Consider the following 19,600-nt stretch of genomic DNA (forward strand, 5'->3'; position numbering starts at 1 on the left):
TACCCGGCCGTGTGAGGTGTCAGTCTGCCGCTACTGGGGGGTGCCTCCCAGTTAGGCTGCTTGGGGGTCAGGGGTCAGGGACCCACTTGAGGAGGCAGTCTGTCCGTTCTCAGATCTCCAGCTGTGTGCTGGGAGAACCACTGCTCTCTTCAAAGCTGTTAGACAGGGACATTTAAGTCTGCAGAGGTTACTGCTGTCTTTTTGTTTGTCTGTGCCCTGCCCCCAGAGGTGGAGCCTACAGAGGCAGGCAGGCCTCCTTGAGCTGTGGTGGGCTCCACCCAGTTCGAGCTTCCCGGCTGCTTTGTTTACCTAAGCAAGCCTGGGCAATGGCGGGCGCCCCTCTCCCAGCCTCACTGCCGCCTTGCAGTTTGATCTCAGACTGCTGTGCTAGCAATCAGCGAGACTCCGTGGGTGTAGGACCCTTCGAGCCATGTGTGGGATATAATCTCCTGGTGCACTGTTTTTTAAGCCCGTCGGAAAAGCACAGTATTAGGGCAGGAGTGACCCAATTTTCCAGGTACCATCTGTCATCCCTTTCTTTGACTAGGAAAGGGAACTCCCTGACCCCTTGCACTTCCCGAGTGAGGCAATGCCTCGCCCTGCTTCGGCTCACACACGGTGCACTGCACCCACTGTCCTGTGCCCACTGTCTGGCACTCCCTAGTGAGATGAACCCGGTACCTCAGATGGAAATGCAGAAATCAACTGTCTTCTGCATCACTCACGCTGGGAGCTGTAGACCGGAGCTGTTCGTATTTGGCCATCTTGGCTGCTTCTTCCTGGTTCTGTATTTTTGCAATTGTGAATTGTCCCACTGTAAACGTGTGTGCAAGTATCTTTTTCATATAATGACTTCTTTTCCTCTGAATAGATACCCAGTAGTGGGATTGCTGGATTATATGGTAGATCTACTTTTAGTTCTTTAAGGAGCTCCATACTGTTTTCCATAGTGGTTGTACTAGTTTATACTAGCAGTGTGAAAGTGTTCTTTTTTCACCACATCCATGCCAACATCTATTATTTTTTTTTTTTAGTTATGGCCATTTTTGCAGGAGTAAGAGGGTATTGCATTGTGGTTTTGATTTGCATTTCCCCGATAATCAGTGATGTTGAGCATTTTTTCATGTTTGTTGGACATTTGTATACCTTCTTTTGAGAATTGTCTATTCATGTCCTTAGCCCACTTTTTGATGGGATTATTTGTTTCTTTCTTGCTGATTTGTTTGAGTTCCTTGTAGATTTTGGATATTAGTCCTTTGTTGGAAGCATAGTTTGTGAAGATTTTCTCCCAGTCTGTAGATAGTCTGTTTGCTAATTATTTGTTTTGCTGTGCAGAAGCTTTGTAGTATAAGTCCTATCTACTTATCTTTGTTTTTATTACATTTGCTTTTGGGTTCTTCGTCATGAAGTCTTTGCCTAAGCCAATGTCTAGAAGGATGTTTCCAACTTTATCTTCTAGAATTTTTATGGTTTCAGGTATTAGATTTAAGTCTTTTATCCATCTTGAGTTGATTTTTGTATAAGGTAAGAGATGAGGATCCAGTTTCATTCTTCTACATGTGACTTGCCAATTATCCCAGGTCCATTTGTTGATTAGGGTGTCCTTTCCCCACTTTATGTTTTGGTTTGCTTTGTCAAAGATCAGTTGGCTGCAAGTATTTGGTTTTATTTCTGGGTTCTCTATTCTGTTCCATTGATCTATGTGCCTATTTTTATGCCAGTACCATGCTGCTTTGGTGACTATAGTCTTATAGTATAGTTTGAAGTCAGGTAATGAGATACCTCCAGATTTGTTCTTTTTGCTTAGTCTTGCTTTGGCTATGTGGGCTCTTTTTTGGTTTCATGTGAATTTTAGGATTATTTTTCCTAGTTCTGTGAAGAATGATGATGGTATTTTGATGCGAATTGCATTGAATTTGTAGATCGCTTTTGGCAGTATGGTCATTTTCACAATATTGATTCTACCCATCCATGAGCATGGGTTGTGTTCCCATTTGTGTAGTCTATGATTTCTTTCAGCAGTGTTTTGTAGTTTTCCTTGTAGAGGTCTTTCACCTTCTTGGTTAGGTATATTCCTAAGTTGTTTTTTTTTTTTTTTTTTTTTTTGCAGCTATTGTAAAAGGGGTTGAGTTCTTGATTTGATTCTCAGCTTGGTGGCTGTTGGTGTACAGTAGTGCTACTGATTTGTGTACATTTTGTGTCCTGAAACTGTACTGAATTCATTTATCAGATTTAGGAACTTTTTGGATGAGTCTTTAGGGTTTTCTAGGCATACAATCATATCATTGGCAAACAGCGACAGTTTGACTTCCTCTTTACCGATTTGGATGCCCTTTATTTCTTTCTCTTGTCTGATTGCTCTGGCTAGTACTTCCAGTACTATGTTGAATAGAAGTCATGAAAGTGGGCATCCTTGTCTTGTTCCAGTTCTCAGGGGGAATGCTTTCAACTTTTCTGCATTCAGTATAATGTGGGCTATGGGTTTGTCATAGATGGCTTTTATTATCTTAGTTATGTTCCTTGTATGCTGTTTTACTTAAGGTTTTAATCGTAAAAGGATGCTGGATTTTTTCAAATACTTTTTCTGCATCTATTGAGATCATGCAATTTTTGTTTTTAATTCTGTATATGTGGTGAATCACATTTATTGACTTGCAAATGTTAAATCATCCCTGCATCCCTGGTATGAAACCCACTTGATCATGGAGGATTATCTTTTTGATATGCTGTTGGATTTGGTTAGCTAGTATTTTGTGGAGGATTTTTGCATCTATGTTCATCAGGGATATTGGTCTGTAGTTTTCTTTTTTTGCTGTGTCCTTTCTGGTTTTGGTATTAGAGTGATACTGGCTTCATAGAATGATTTAGGGAGGATTCCCTCTTTCTCTATTTTTTGGAATAGTTTCAATAGGATTGGTACCAATTCTTTGAATGTCTGATAGAATTCAGTTGTGAATTTATCTGGTCCTGGACTTTTTTGTTGTTGGCAATTTTTAAATTAGTATTGTTGCTTGTTATTGGTCTGTTAAGAGTTTCTATTTCTTTCTGGTTTAACCTAGGAGGATTGTATATTTCCAGGAGTTTATCCATCTCCTGTAGGTTTTCTAGTTCATGCACATAAACGTTTTCATAGTAGCCTTGAACGATCTTTTGTATTTCTGTGGTATTGATTATAATATCTCCTGTTTCATTTCCAGTTGAACTTATTTGGATCTTCTCTCTTCTTTTCTTGGTTAATCTTGCTAATGGTCTATCAATTTTGTTTATTTTTTCAAAGAACCAGCTTTTTTGGTTCATTTATCTTTTGTAATTTTTGTTGTTTCAATTTCATTTAGTTCTGCTCTGATATTTGTTATGTCTTTTCTTCTGCTGAGGTTGGGGTTTTTTTTTTTGTTCTTGTTTCTCCAGTTCCTTGAGATGTGACCTTAGATTGCCTATCTGTGTTCTTCCAGACTTTTTGATGTAGGCTTATAATGCTATGAGCTTTCCTCTTAGCACTACTTTTGCTGTATCCCAGAAGTTTTGATAGGTTGTGTCACTATTATTATTCAGTTCAAAGAATTTTTTAATTTCTGTCTTGATTTCATTGTTGACCCAACGATCATTCAGAAATGGGTTATTTAATTTCCATATATTTGCATGGTTTTGAGGGTTCCTTTTGGAGTTAATTTCCAATTTTATTCCACTGTGGTCTGAGAGAGTACTTGATATAATTTTGATTTTCTTAAATTTACCAAGACTTGTTTTGTGGCCTATCATATGGTCTATCTTAGAGAATGTTCCATGTACTGACAAATAGAATTATATTCTGTAGTTGTTGGGCAGAATGTTCTGTAAATATCTGTTAGGTCCATTTGTTCTAGGTTATAGTTTAAGTCCATTGTTTCTTTGTTGACTTTCTGTCTTGATGACCTGTCTAGGGCTGTCAGTGGAGTATTAAAGTCCTCCACTATTTTTGCGTTGATGTCTATCTCATTTCTTAGGTCTAGTGGTAATTGTTTTATAAATTTGGGAGCTCCAGAGTTAGGTGCATATATATTTAGAATTGTGATATTTCCCTGTTGGACTAGTCCTTTTATCATTATATCATGTCCCTCTTTGTCTTTTTCAACTACTGTTGTTTTAAAGTTTGTTTTGTCTGATGTAAGAATAGCTCTTCCTGCTTGTTTGGTGTCCATTTGTATGGAATAGCTTTTTCCTCCACTTTACCTTAAGTTTATGTGAGTCCTTATGTGTTAGGTGAGTCTCTTGAAGACAGAAGATACTTGGTTGATGAATTCTTATCCAGTCTGCCATTCTGTATCTTTTAAGTGGAGCATTTAGGCCATTTACATTCATTACAATGTTAGTATTGAGATATGAGGTACTATTCTATTCATTGTGCTATTTGTTGCCTGAATATCTTGTTTTTTTTTTTTTCATTGTGTTACTGTTATATAGCTCCTGTGAGATTTATGCTTTAAGGAGGTTCTATTTTGGTGTATTTTGAGGATTTGTTTCAAGACAGAGCTCCTTTTAGCCTTTCTTATAGTACTGGCTTGAGTGACGAGTTCTCTCAGCATCTGTTTGTCTGGAAAAGACTGTATCTTTCTTTCATTTGTGAAGCTTAGTTTCATGTGTACAGAATTCTTAGCTGATAATTGTCTTGTTTAAGGAGGCTAAAAATAGGACCCCAATCCCTTCTAGACTGTAGGGTTTCTGCTAAGAAATCTGCTGTTACTCTGATAACTTTTTCATTATAGGTTACCTGATGCTTTTGCCTCATAGCTCTTAAGATTCTTTCCTTCATCTCGAGTTTAGTGACTACGTGCCTAGGCAATGACCTTGGTGCAATGAATTTCCCAGGTGTTATTTGAGCTTCTTGTATTTGGATGTCTAGATCTCTAGTAAGGCTGGGGAAGTTTTTCTCGATTATTCCCTCGAATATGTTTTCCAGACATTTAGATTTCTTCCTCAAGAACACCAATTATTCTTAGGTTTGGACACTTAACATGGTCCCAAACTTCTTGGAGGCTTTGTTCATTTTTCAAAATTCTTTTTTCTTTGTGTTTGACAGATTGGGTTAATTCAAAACCCCTGTCTTCAAGCTCTGAAGTTCTTTCTTCTGCTTGTTTGATTCTATTGCTGAGATTTTCCAGCACATCTTGCATTTCTCTAAGTGTATCCTTGATTTCCAAAAGTTATGGTTGTTTGCTATTTATGCTATCTGTTTCACTGAAGAATTTTCCTTTCATATCCCATGTCATGTTTTTGATTTCTTTGGAGTTTACATTTCTCTGGTGCCTCCTTGAGTAGCTTAGTAATTGACCTTCTGAATTCTTCTTCTGGCAAATCAGAGATTTTGTTTTGTGTCCATTGCTGGTGAGCTAGTGTGGTCTTTTGGGGGGTGTTAAAGAACCTTGGTTTGTCATATTACCACAATTGTTTTTCTAGTTTCTTCTCATCTGGATAGACTATGTCAGAGGAAAGATCTGGGACTCTGGGACTCGAGCGCTGCTGTTCAGATTTTTTTTGTCCCATGTGGTGCTCTCCTCCTTCCCCTAGGGATGGAGCTTCCTGAGACCTGCACTGTGGTGATTGTTATTGCCCTTCTGGGTCTAGCCACCCAGTGGAGCTAACAGGCTCTGGGCTGTTACTGGGGAGTATCTGCAAAGGGTCCTGTCATGGGATCCGTCTTCAGGTCTGTCAGCCATGGATACCAGCACCTGCTCTAGTGGAGGTAGCAGGGGAGTGAGGTGAACTCTGTGAGAGTCCTTGGTTGTAGTTTTGTTTAGTGCATTGGTTTTCTTGAATGCTGATTGTGCTAGCAGTGAAGTTGTCATGTGGACGGACTCAGAACCTCTGGTTAGCCAGGATGTTACAAGCGGTGGAATTAGCTGTTGTTTTCTACTCTCTTGGAGTGGGGCTGCTCTTTTATGAGTTGCTGTAATGGTTTGAGTTGGTTGGCCTCCAGCCAGGAGGTGGTACTTTCAAGAGAGCATCAGCTGTGGTGATAAATAAATAACCTTTTAAAAAAATTATTATTTTTTAGAGACAAGGTCTCACTCTGTCACCCAGGCTGGAGTGCAGTGGCGCAATCATAACTCACTGTAACCTCAAACTCCTGGGCTCAAGCAATCTTCCAGCCTCAGGCTCCTGAGTAGCTGGGACTACAGGCAGGCACCACCAGGCCTGGCTAATAATTTTTTTTTAAATAGAGATAGGGTCTTACTATATTGCCCAGGCTGGTCTCAAACTCCTGGCCTCTCAAAAATTTGAGATTACAAGCATGAGTCAGTGCCCAGCTTAAATAGCATTTTATTTAACCATTTCCATTCTGAGCAACAGTTAGATTGTTTCAGTATTACTATAGCACTGCAACAAACATTCTTGTGCCTTTCTGATAAAATGCATGTGTGAGGGCATTTAGGGTACATTAACTAGAGTGAAATTGCATCTTGCAATATATGGCTATCTTTTTTTTATTTTTGAGTTGGAGTCTTGCTCTGCTGCCCAGGCTGGAGTGCAGTGGCACTATCTTGGCTCACTGCAAGCTCCGCCTCCCGGGTTCATGCTATTCTCCTGCTTCAGCCTCCTGAGTAGCTGGGACTACAGGTGCCTGTCACTACACCTGGCTAATTTTTTTGTATTTTTAGTGGAGACAGGGTTTCACCGTGTTAGCCAGGATAGTCTTGATCTCCTGACCTTGTGATCCGCCCGTCTGGGCCTCCCAAAGTGCTGGGATTACAGGCATGAGCCACTGTGCCCGGATATATGGCTATCTTTAACTTTAACCTGGCTGAACTGCTCTCTAAGAAATGGAAACAATTTTATACTCTGAGTGACAGATGCATTCCTGTTTTCCTCCACACTGCATGTTATCAGACTTACTAATATTTATCAATCAGACAGATGTTTGATGTTTCTCTTATTTGAATGCACATTTCCTTTATTACTAGAGAGAGCTTGAAAATAATTTAAAAATGTTTGTTGGGCATTTGGGATTCCCCTCTCTGAAAAGCAGTTGTTCTATAACTGCTTTTGTGTGATGTCCTGGGGCTGGCCTGAGGACAAATTATTTATATCATTTGCTTATTGCTGAGTTATCTTCATATTCATTAGTCACTTTTTTACAGATTCTGGATAAAAATATTTTGTTGGTTACATGGTTGGGTTGTAAATATCTCCTCTTTATTGTGGACTGGCTTTTCACTTTGATTATAGTATCTTGTGTCATATTGGAGTTTTAATTTTAATGCTATCGAATTTATACATCTTTTCCTTTTTTGTGTGTTTTATTATTCTTCCATGCTGCAGTAACATAAAGAGTATCTCCTATGCATTTTTATAAGTTTGCTTTTCACATTTAGGACTTTAATCCGTTTCAGGTTCTTCTTGGAACTTAGATCCTTGCTCAAAGGACAGATGCAAGAAGTACTTTGGAATGAAGGATAGTGAATCCAGAGAAAAGAAGAGAAATATAAGAAGTTATTTTGAACAAAAAACTGGCAAAAGTGAATAAATCTAAATGAGTGTTCACTAGAAGACTATTAATCATTATGACTAATTTGGGGAATAAAAACAAAGTGAAATTTAAATGCCAGGCAGTAATAAAACGGGGGAAATGATTCACATTAAAGGGTCTGAAACTTCTAATGTAAATTGGATGTATCCATTTTATTCTCTGTGTTGATTAATCCTTCTTTCACGTTTTCCATCTTTTATATCTGTGTCTACAAATCACATTGGTAATTTCCTCAGATCTTCTCATTTAATAATTTTTTAATTAACCTGTGCATAATCTGTAGTTGGACCTATTGAATTATATATATGTATATATAGTATGTATATATAATTACAGATTATGTATTTATATATAACAAATAAATAAATATTAAATTATATATTATTTTTATATATTTACATATTAAATAAAATATATTATTTATTTATTATTTTTATTTTTTTAGAAACAGGGTCTCACTCTGTTGCCCAGGCTGGAATGCAGTGATGTGATCATAGCTCACTGTAGCCTTGAACTCCCAGCCTCAAGCCATCCTTCCACCTTGGCCTCCCAAGGTGCTTCTGGAAGGCCTAGTTGGTTTCTGTAAGTATTGCCCATTCTTTTATAATGGTTATAAGACATTCTGCTATGTTTTAAATCTATTTAATATGCCCGTATTATCAATTTTTATTGCCCATTTTGTTATCAATAGAAATTGTTGTGTTCTCTGTAGTTCCTGAGCTTCTATGCTCCGATTTGCTGATTGTGCTGCCTCTTGCTATTGTCGGATTATTTCTTCTTGGGTTTCATAGTTTGGGCTTGTGAACTCATCAGCAGAGCTTTGGCCTTTGGAATCCTGTTGGGAGTGAGGTTGAAGGTTCGTCCCCACAACATTGTTCTATGACTGCTTTTGTGTGGTGTCCTGGGGCTGGCCTGGGACTAATCTGTATGCTTATCAGCTTGTGGGATTCTTAGCCCATGTTGGTAGATTAATTCCAACTCCAAGCACAAGTTATTTGTAGTCTGGGGTTTTATAATCTTGGGTTTTTGTTTTATTTTTCCTCCTAGAGCCCCGGCCTAGGCAGGCGAGAACCCCAGTCTCAGTGAGAGAATCCTGAAGCTGCTGTCCTTTGAGGGATCTGGCTCTCTGGAGCCATTTTGGTTTGGACTCCCCACCGAGAATAGGACCATGGCCTTATTGCCTATTGCTATGTGTGAGTATGGAAACCCCAGCCGAGGGGCCACCAACCTGACATCCCCTTCTGGCAACCTCTCAGGGCACACATGAATCGGCACATGCAATTTCATTTGTCTCTTATGTTTGTTTTTTGAATTTTCTCTTTCTTTCTTGCAAGCTCACCTGTCATATAACGGCTTTTTTAGTTACTTTTAAACTTACCATCTGTAGGTACTTATAGCGAAATAATTTTCAGGTTACAGGTTATCTGGATCCTTCTGGAACATGAAGTGTGAAGCCCTTTTACACTGTTTTCAGGGGGTGGAGCCCCCTGCAGACTCCTAGCTCATCTATGGTTTTAAGATGGCATTCCCAGGAGTTTCTGGGACCCTGGCTCTACTGGGGAAACCATCCAGGATGCTTACTGAGAGCCTGTCTCATCTTGTTCATTGAATGTTTTTGGGCCCCATTTATCCTTTTGAACTGTAACAACTAAAATCCTGCCCTCTCTTCCAATAACCTCTTTTCAAACAATGAACCCCAAGTATGTCTTTTTTTCCGTTTGTGAGCTGCCATTAAGATGTCATTTCCACTTCATATTTCTTTAGTCTCTAATCAGCTTCTGAAATCTCTCATCTCTTTTAAAGGTACCTCTCTTGTCTTCCTTTATTTTGATTTCATTACAAAAAGAAACACTCCCAATCTGATAATAAGATTGAAGCCTGCTTTTCAAGCCAAACTAGTTTCTCTTTGATTGTCCAAGCAAATTGAATTCCTAGATACAGAGTATTCTAGGCACAGACCTTTAAAAATGCATTCTTGGCCAGGTGCGGTGGCTCACGCCTGTAATCCCAGCACTTTGGGAGGCCAAGGCGGGTGGATCACCTGAGGTCAGGAGTTCAAGACCAGCCTGACCAACATGGTGAAACCCTGTCTCTACTTAAAAAAAAAAAATAGCTGGGCGTGGTGGTGCATGCCTGTAATCCCAGGTACTCGGGAGGCTGAGGCAGAAGAATCACTTGAATCCGGGAGGCAGAGGTTGTGGTGAGCCGAGATCCTGCCATTGTACTCCACCCTGGGCAACAAGTGCTAAACTCCATCTCCAAAAAAGATCAAAACAACAACAACAAAAAAATGCATTCTTAGCTTTTGGACTTGCAGTCATTTTACTGAGTTGTTTCTTTACTTTAACTGAAGATTGTGGCCTTTTTTTTAAAAAAATAAATGCCCTGATCAGGCATTTGTTAAATGAGAGTACCTACTGAAGATAAGACACTTTTCTACACACTTGGAATATACCAGTGAACAAGGCAATTCTTTTTGTCTGTCGTTATTAATAAAATATACTAATCTTGTGAAATCACAGTTCACATGTCTGAAGCGTAAAGTCAGAATATAATAGAACTCATCAAAGCTGTGCAATTGAGATCTCATGGTTCATGGACGTGACTTTTAATATTCATTGGTTGAGCAGCACAGTAATAAGGGCCCAGTCCCTCTCAGAGTCCTTGTTTGGTCTTGAATTCAGGTAATGGGATTTGGGAAGCACATTTGTCGAAAATAAGTTAAAGGCAAACATCACCTAGAGCTCTGTGGCACACAAGGGCTCAAATGTGTGCAGTGTAAAGTCCCTGTGTCCCAGTCTCCCACCCTTTCAGCGTGGTTGAGAAACAGCACAGGCAGTGAACCACACCCTTACTTCAGCTGACCTGTCTTGCTAAGGCCTGTGCCAACACTCCCGAGCAGCCAGCCTGCTTTCTAAGACTCCGATTTGTCCTCCTGCTTGTTAATACCCCAAATGGCCAGCATTTGCTGAATTCCAGCCTGTTATGAAATACCAGGAGCTACAGAGACCTGCAAAAGTCAGAATCCCACGTGATCGATAGTCACCATGGCTTAAGCCAGAGAGCTGCCTGCCTTCGTGGTTGCTGTCTCCTTCCTCTACATGTTATTTCATTCTCCAAGTGCCAGTCCCGTCTATTTCTTAAGGTTCCCAGTCTGTGCACCAGGTATTGAAAATTTAGGGAGTCAATAAATATACTTCTCTTCCTCGCCTGTGTTTGGATCAATTGAGAGAGAAAAAAAACAAAAAAGAAAAAACAAAAAATGTCAGAGTAGAAGATGTAATATAGCTCTGTGGATAAGTAGGTTTGTTAATATTTTACCCCAAATTACACATACCCCGCTCCTTCCCAGTGTAGCCAAAACCAGAGCAGAGCCTTGTTCCAGCTTGGGGACCAGGCAGGGCTTGAGCTCTGTGCAAGAGGTGAGTCCAGGCAGGAGAGGGCAGGAACAGGCCAGGTGCTTGCTCCTGTGGGACAAGTGTGACTCCTTCTCTCCAGGGGAGGAAGAGGGGTGGAGAAAGGAGGGAGTGTTAGTCTAATGGAAGTTCCTCCCCGTGGAGACTGCAGAAAGGCACGTGTATGTGTGTTGGAGCAGATGTTTCTCCTAGCAATTGATACTCCTCATATTGCTCTTCGAATTTTGAGTTTCAACATTTGCTTGTCCGTCTCTTCTACTCTCTGAATGAGGCCCTGTGCAATTCCTGTTTTCCTCAGTGTCCTGCATGTAGTAGAATGACAAAAGTATGTTGATGGACCAAAGTAAAGCCAGCCTGCACTAGTGAAACGGAGAGGACAGATACACATCTGCCCCTGGTAAAATGATCATGAAGACCACTGTTACAACACAGAAACAGTCTACCTGCTGTCTGCTTCCAGGTTTTTCCTATCCTCCCGTTGTTGAAGGAATTTGAAAATAAATTTTATAAAGACAGTTGCATTCATGCCCAGTGTTCTTACTTCTCCCATAGATGAGTAAGACTGTGGCTTTAGAAAATGCACAGAGGCCCGTTTTATAATAAAATATTCTATTCAATTCAGAACAAATATTCAGTGCCTTAAATGTATTTTTAAAGCTTATTTTTCCCTCCTATTTCATCTTGTAATGATGTGTGCAGCAATAATCGAAGGCTTTTTTGTATTCGTTTAGTACACCTAGATGTGTTGCAAGAATAATCACTTTTATTTTGAGATTTTGAAACACAGGCACTGGTACAGGATTGGGCAAGGCAGATGGCACAGATCTTACTCCAGACCTCCCAGCATGGTGACTCCCATCCACAGCCTCCGGAGGATGCAGTGGCTGCCCACGTGATAGCAGGGCCAGGATTCACCCGGGTTGCAGCCTCATCCAAAGCTGCAGGGTGCTGCAAGTAAAATGTGTCCCTGCCTCAGAACCGGGGTGTGGGCCCTGAGTCACTTCACCTGAGGTTTGAGAGTCAGCTGACTTCATCTTGACTTCAGTTTCAACAAAACATTTGCTCTCAGTCTTGTGGAATTTTCAAACTTGGGAAGCCTCAGTGACTGCTCACTCATTTTTCAGGGTGATGTCGTGATGGGTTGGAAACAGTTTTTAGGTTCTATTGTAGAACTGAAACAAGGGCATAAGAAGGAGTTGAGGGCAAATCTCTCCAGAGAAAATACAACACAGAGAAAATAATTTAACTTTGCAATGATGTCATAGTGATTATTAAAATATTTCCTAGTTGATACAATGTCTTTTGTATATTTTGTTTGTAAGTACTCTATGTTCTAGTTTAGATTTATCAAAGTTAGAGTCTCCTCTCTTGAAAAGTCTCTGCTTGGAGAAACTTGCACTTTAGGAGAATTTTAAAAAAATGTTCATTTTGTACTTTTCCAAGTGTTTCTGGAATTCTCCAGGCTTTGACACATGCTGCTGACAACAGAGATTTGCATGTGTTCTTCCAAGCGTATTAATTTATTTTAAAAGTCACTATTGTCCAGGTCCATCTTCCTCAGTTGTGTAATATACACAATGTTATTTTTATAATTTTAATATTGTCAAATTCAAGATAACTCTTAATTTTGCTTAAGTTTCATATTCATTTGGATCTACATGTCTCCTGATTATGAATTAAAGAGCAAGTTTTTACTTTTCTATTTATTTTGTTAACTAGATAACTTATTGAAGTAGAATTTTAACATGAGCTAAGACAAGCAGCTAAAACCCTCCTAGATAAAGCTCTATTTCAATCAAACACCACTCTCCGCCTGGGCCTGTGTTATAACATTAGCAGTACAAAATCATAACTGGTGAAAATTGTAGCAAATTATTAGTGATGGGAAAATTGAAGAAAGTAAATACCTCTGAAAACTCAGCTGATAAGACTTCAAAAGTATTGGAAGCCTTTTCTGCCTCACTTAAGAATAATAATAAAAATGATGATTCCAGAAAGTTTGTAAGTTTGCAATAACCTGCTTAAAAATGAGAGTTGACTGGCTGTGTTATCATTACTGTTTCCTGAGAGACAGTTTATGGAAGGTGGTTTTATGATACATTCCTGAAAAACCTCCAGATTTCAAGTATGCAATATAAACCTCCTTATGAAAACTGCAAGTCTTACCCATTTTATAAATTGTACCACACCTACTTCAGATTAAATAGGATCTCCACATTTTAGTGTGGTCAGTGAACAATAAAAGGTGGGCACTGAGAAACTGCTAACAAATCTCTCGATTAGGGTCTGATCCAGTTGATTTAAATGGGCTGTTCTCACACTTTCTGGTCTCAGGATTTCTTTATGCTTTTAAATATTACTGAAGAAAAAAATCACTGAGGATCCAAATGAGCCTTTGTTTATCTGAGTTATATCTGTCACCACTGACCATTTTAGAAATTGAAGTTGAGAAAAATTTAAACCACAAGAATATCTACAAGCACATATGTCATGACCATCGGAAGGAAGATGGCAGCACATGCCGCGTGGCCTCTGGGAAATGCCACTGTACGTTCGTGACAGAATAAGAGCGGGAGAGGCACGCGAGGATAGTTTTGACCGCCTAGATGCCCTGACAGGGTTTCAAGGACTTGAAGGGCTACCAGATCACACTTTGAGAACTGCCAGTTTACATTATTTGATGTCATTATTGAACATTTACCAATACCTTGCAGAAACTCAAGCAATTGGTGATGAGTTGTCTGCAAACATAGTTTTGAGTGTGGGCTGTAGGATCAGCCAAACTCGATTTGATCCCCCATTCTACTGCTTGCTAGCTGTAAGGTTTTGGGCAAGCCTCTCAGGCACTCACTGCTTGGTTTTCTAAGTCAAATTGGGGCTTGTGGGGTTATTGAAGGATATGCACACAACTAGCGTTGCACCTGGCCTGTGATAGGTATTCAGCAAATGATAGCTATAATAGAAGAAGAAACAGAACAGAGACCACTTTTATGCAGCCGGCCTCCCCCATTCCTCCCTCCCAAGAAGGACTTTTACTGATTACTGTGGTATGAAACACAAGAATTCTCCTCAGGAAGGACGACTGGAAGAAACAAATAGAACAAAGAAAGTTTCAGCCTCCCCTTCATCCCGTGACCGAATCTTTCCCTATAGTGTGTTTATCTTTAACAGCTTTGATCTAAAATGAGTGATTCCTCGCACTTCCAAAGTCCAAGCTTATTTTGTTCATTTGTGCTCACTTTGTTGTTTTGCTAGATGAAATTTTGCTTCTAATAGAGTAGTAAAATGTCCCCTTTTTCTTCCCCTGACACCTACCGATATTCTGAGTTCCTGGTTTTAGCCGTTTTAGCAACATTCCTTGCTCAAACTCCCCCTTGAACGCAGTGCCAGGATTTAAGATGATTCTTTACAAGTTGCAATTTATACTTGGTCATTTCCTGTCAGTTTCTACGTTTCGTATTCTGGAGTCTGAACTGGACAATGACTCCTTAAACTGGCAGTCGATTCCCTCCAGGGCTGCAGATGGGAAGAGAGTGCAGGTTGAGCCCAGGTTGAAGCCCGCCGTAAGGACAGTGGGCAAGGGCTGGCCACGCCCTTCTGCTAAGGAAGAGCACAGGCCCACTGTACATGAGCTTGGCCTGCAGGAGCCCCTCTGAGGCTGCTGGGTTTTCCTATGCGATGATTTGACAATGATTCTTCTGCAGTGGTGTCCCCTGACCCTTGCTGGGCTTTTCTGAACCTCACAGGATATCCCATTTCTTCTAGTCCCTTAGATGATGAATTTTTGCCCATCTTCTGATTTGTTTTTTGGGTCACTCATCACTCATTAAGCACGTGCTTTGTGGTCAGCACTCTGTTGCCCCTGGGTTGAGTGAGAATGGGACGTGTCTGATGACCATGATCTGACTCTGGTAAAGGAGAGCCAGCTCCGGACTCTGGGGATAGAGAAAAATGGGCCAGAAATAGAAATATTTCCCCTCTGCATGTCTTTTTTTGAAATAGTGGTATAATAATTCAATGAAAAATGTGTAGTAACCTTCCTAGAAAGTAGCCATTGAGATCATGGACAGCAGCAAAGCACAGCGCTCCAGTCCACTTTATTTATTTATTCAAAGACGGAGTCTCACTCTGTCGCCCAGGCTGGAGTGCAATGATGCGACCTCAGCTCACTGCAACCTCTGGCGCTCAGGTTCAAGTGATTCTCCTGCCTCAGCCTCCCCTGTAGTTGAGATTACAGGTCCCCGTCCCTATGCCTGGCTAACTTTTACATTTTTAGTGGAGACGGGGTTTCACTATCTTAGTCAGGCCAGTCTCAAACTCCTGACCTCAGGTGATCCAACTGCCTCAGCCTACCAAAGTGCTGGTGTGTCTGGGGTTGGTTCCTACCAGTACTCTGGCTGACTTCATGATTCTCACTGACTTCATCAATGAAGCCACGGACCTTCACGGTGAGTGTTACAGCTCTTAAAGATGGCACAGACCCAAAAAGTAAGAGGCAGCAAGGTTTTTTGGGAAGAGCAAAAGGACGAAGACTCCACATTGCGAAAAAGGACCCAAACCGGTTACCACTGCTGGCTGGGGTGGCCAGCTTTTATTCCCTTATTTGTCCCTGCCCATGTTCCCTTTCTGTCCTATCATAATGCCCTTTTTCCAATTCTCCCTGTGATTGGCTACTTTTAGGATCCTGCTGATTGGTGCATTTTACAGAGCACTGATTGGTGCGTTTTACAATCCTGGCTACAGAGTGTTGATTGGTGTGTTTTACAATCCTCTTGTAAGACAGAAAGGTTCTCCAAGTCCCCACTTGACCCAGAAAGTCCCCCTGGCTTCACCTCTCACTGGGATTACAGGCATGAACCACTGTGCCTGGCCTACTATTATTTTTTGAGACAGGGTGTCACTCTGTTGCCCAGGCTGGAGTGCAATGGCACAATCATAGCTCACTGCAGCCTGGAACTCCTGGTCAAGTGATCCTCCCACCTCAGCCTCCTGAGTAGCTGGGACTACAAGCTTGCACCACCACCCTTAGCTTTTTTTTTTCTTTTTCTTTTTTTTTTACTTTTGGTAGAGATGCTATGGAGTCTTGCTATGTTGCCCTAGCTGGTCTCGAATTCCTGGCCTCAAGGGATCCTCACACCTTGTCCTCCCAAATAAACCACTGTGCCCGGCAAAGTCAACTTTTGAGTCTCAGACTTGGGTTTCATTCCATGTCCACCACTTACAAGCTGAGCAGCACTGGGTACAATTTTTAACATATTCATGTTTCAATGTCCTCAATAAAATCAGGGATCTTAACTAATAAGCCAAAATGGTAGCTCTGATTTGTGATAGCATTCAGTAGTGATGCTACGAGAGCAAAGATGAGAACCTTGCTTGTTGGTTAAATATTTCAGTTAGGGGAGCAGTGATGAACATTCTCCACACACACAAATGCTTTAACTGGACAAGTAGGGGCATCTGGTAGTGATAGCAAATGTGAGTCTTAGTTGGAATTAAGTAGCAATGTGATACAGAAAAAGGGAAGTTATTTGTTTAAGGATAAACAGGAGCCAGGGGCAGAGTGGAGGATGGAATCCAGGTTCTGTGACGCCAGGTTAATGTTTTGAATTCAGACGGGCTGGGATCCGAATCCCCACCTTCACCCCTTACTGCTTGTGTGAGCTTGACCAAGTTACTGAAATTCTCTGTGCCTCGATTTTATCATCCATAAAAGTGAGGATAATAATATTATCTTCCTTGTGTGTTGATGTGGGAATTAAATGAGATAATAAATGTTAAGTACGTAGCCGACTGTCTGGCAAATATTAAGTGCTCAATAAATGACAACTATTATTATCCCTTAGACCTCATTGCCTCTTCAACGCTTAAAAGCTCAGCAAGTCCCTTTAAAATGAAATTCTCAAAGCAGTCATTTCCCAGTCCAGAAAGAGAACCTGTCATGTGCAGGGAGTGTGTGCACTTCATGCGGCTGTTCCTTAGGATGAAAACGATTTCTTCCTGACACACAGGATCATCACTGGGCTTAGAGAGAGAAACTACTATGTATAGAAAAGAATGAGATGCTCTTAAAATTGTGCAAACCACCTCAGATCTAGTAATCACGGACTTGGCTCTCTCATCTCTCAACCCTGAAGGAGCTCCTTGGCAGCACTGACGCAGAGCAGCGAGCTCTTGTGAGGTGCACTGGCAAGCCCCTCCTGCTGTCTAAAGGCAACAGACACGGCCTCATCACAATGTTTCAGGTGCTTGGAATCTTTTATAAAGCACCTTTTTTGGGGGAGGATAAGGTTTGCAAGAAGCTAACCCCACGGTGTTAGCACTGTTTTTTACCCTTTGAGCCGCTAGTAGTGCAGTGAGTGTCTTCCTGAGCTGTCTGGCATGGCGGCTGGTGCGTATGACAATGTCTAAGTCCCCATGCACTTGTTACCTGCACAGGTGGCCACACCCTCCTCTCCCTATGCCCCTCAGTCACACTGCGCAATGGACCCTCCTTTACTCCTGAACCCAGCTGGCTCACAAGGGGTGAAGTGGGACCCTGATGGGGAGAAAAAAATAAATTTGGAATTTGATACATGATCTCTTATATAAATGAAAAATGATGCAATTAGGGGCAAAAGTTCCAGAAAGTCGAGCGCTCTTTCCCTCCTGGAAAAGCATGTGGACAAGGTCAGCTGGCCATCTGCAGCCCTGTGCCGGGGTCAGCATCCAGTGGCAGGCCCTCTGACATTGACCTGCCGCTAGGAGGTGCCTGCTGTTTGTGCCCCAGCTTCAGATGCGCTCTGGTGAATACTGCGGTTCAACACAGAGCGATCCCTGTGTTCGTGGGCTCATGTTGTCCCTGCCTGTCCCATCCGCACAGGGGCCAGGCACTGGAACATCTGGTGTTGGTCCTGAACATTTGTGATATTTGCCCCAGTGCTGAGAGCTGAGCTCCTTCTGGTGGCCATGGCATTAGAAACAGGTCAAGGCATCTTGTTTCTTTTCCTTGCAGTCACCACAGTGGCCCTACTGTTTGTCATGGCCACCAAAACACTTTCTTTCATTTGTCTGCGTGTGAATGATAAACCATATTATCATACATGTATAATGACTGGTGTCATACAAACTTCATACACAGAAGACTGTTATCAGAAAACATAGCCCACACAGAATCAAGCTTGTTCAGTTAGGGAATTCGCTTCCTGCATGGAACCCGCAAATCCTGGATGGGGCTGCCAGCCTCATTCACATTCCTGGTCTTGGCTCCTGTAAGGCAAAATGCTCCCCACTTGAACTCCCTTCTCCCCCAGTGTCTGGGGTTCCTGGAGATTCTTATCTCTTTGGAAGGAGCTGCTGCAGCGTCTTGTGGTTTTCAAGATGGCAGCTGAGCTGCAGTGATTGGCTGGTGTGACTTCAGGGAGGCTGTGCTTGTGACCATGTGCCTCTTCCTTCAAGCTTGGGAGGTGCAGCCAACGACGTGTGAACGGGCGTGGCTCCTGATGCTGAGGATGTGCAAGTGTGTGGGGATCCTCATTACTGGCTCTGGTAACCTAGATCCTTTGAGCAACCTTGATCTTTACTGCTTTACAGTTCTCACGATTTGTTTGTAATGCTCTGTGTTTTAAAGGAAACCGATATTGCTCCTCTGCTTGTCACATATTGCTCCTTCTCCCTGCAAGTATATTGAGTACCACACCAGCACCAGGCGAGAAGAAGTGACCAAATACCCAGAGAAGACTGGAGATCAGAGATCAAAGCATCCACCTACCTGGGTCCATCCACCACCCTCTTGTTTATTTCATCTTTTTCCTGCTCCCAGGGTGTCTGAAATGAACTCTGCCCATCAGGTAAAGGCCAATATCTTCATGTGGTCTAAAAGGGAATTTCATTTCTCAGGTGTGCTCTCTAAAGAGCCCTTCATAAATATGTTCTGTTTATTTTTTGGAGCAGTTTTCCCTATCCCAGGCCCCCAGCTATGTCTCAGTTAATCACGGTGCACCACAATTGAGCTGACTTATTCTGAATATTGCTTATTGCCATGAATTCGAATGGATTTTAGGAACCAACTCCCAAGTCTCATCAATTTAAAGGAAATCTAATGAGGGAAAATCCTCATCTGAAAATCCGTTATCACTGATGCATAGGCAGCCTTGGAAACATATCCTAATTATGGAAATCTTAGGTTTCTGAAGATAACTTTCCCTACTTTGATACACATGTTGGTGTCTCTTTAACTAAACTTTGTTAGGCTACATGACTTGAAACCGTATGAATGTTGTACCCCGTGTGACTCATGAGAGGCTGAGCATGTGAAGGATCTGCCAAGAGGTGTTCTAGGCAGTTCTATTGCCTGCTAGATTTTCTAGCCAGTCTTTTTCTTTTCCATCAAAACCCTTGTGTGAAGGAAACAAAGGCAAGTCTGAGCAGTAGCTCTGTGCTGGGCTGATTCCAGGGGGATGGTCAGTCCTTTGCAAGGGAATTTAATATCCAATCTTTCTGTCTCATGACAATGAAGTAATGTGAAGTGATACGTCTTAACAAAAGGATGCTGATGATACCACACTCACCACCTATTGATGAACAAAGCTGAATTTTAGATCCTACAGTTAAGTGATTATGCATGAAAGGATGGATTGTAGTTCTGGAGGGGACACAACCTGTCTGAATCTGAGCCACTTCAGTGCACATGCCTGGGGAGTGT

The 19,600-nt window shown here is 41.6% G+C and overlaps 1 long non-coding RNA gene across 1 annotated transcript; it reads right to left on the reverse strand.

The window, feature by feature from the left end:
* Window positions 1-11,665: 11,665 nt before the first annotated feature.
* Window positions 11,666-17,030, reverse strand: LINC00424 (long intergenic non-protein coding RNA 424). Its single transcript, NR_047040.1, has 2 exons — window positions 17,005-17,030; window positions 11,666-12,092 (listed from the first exon to the last, which is right to left on the reverse strand). It is a non-coding gene; the product is annotated as a long intergenic non-protein coding RNA 424 (long non-coding RNA).
* Window positions 17,031-19,600: the final 2,570 nt, after the last annotated feature.

Source organism: Homo sapiens, chromosome 13, assembly GCF_000001405.40.
Source record: "Homo sapiens chromosome 13, GRCh38.p14 Primary Assembly".
NCBI classification, from domain to species: Eukaryota; Metazoa; Chordata; class Mammalia; order Primates; family Hominidae; genus Homo; species Homo sapiens.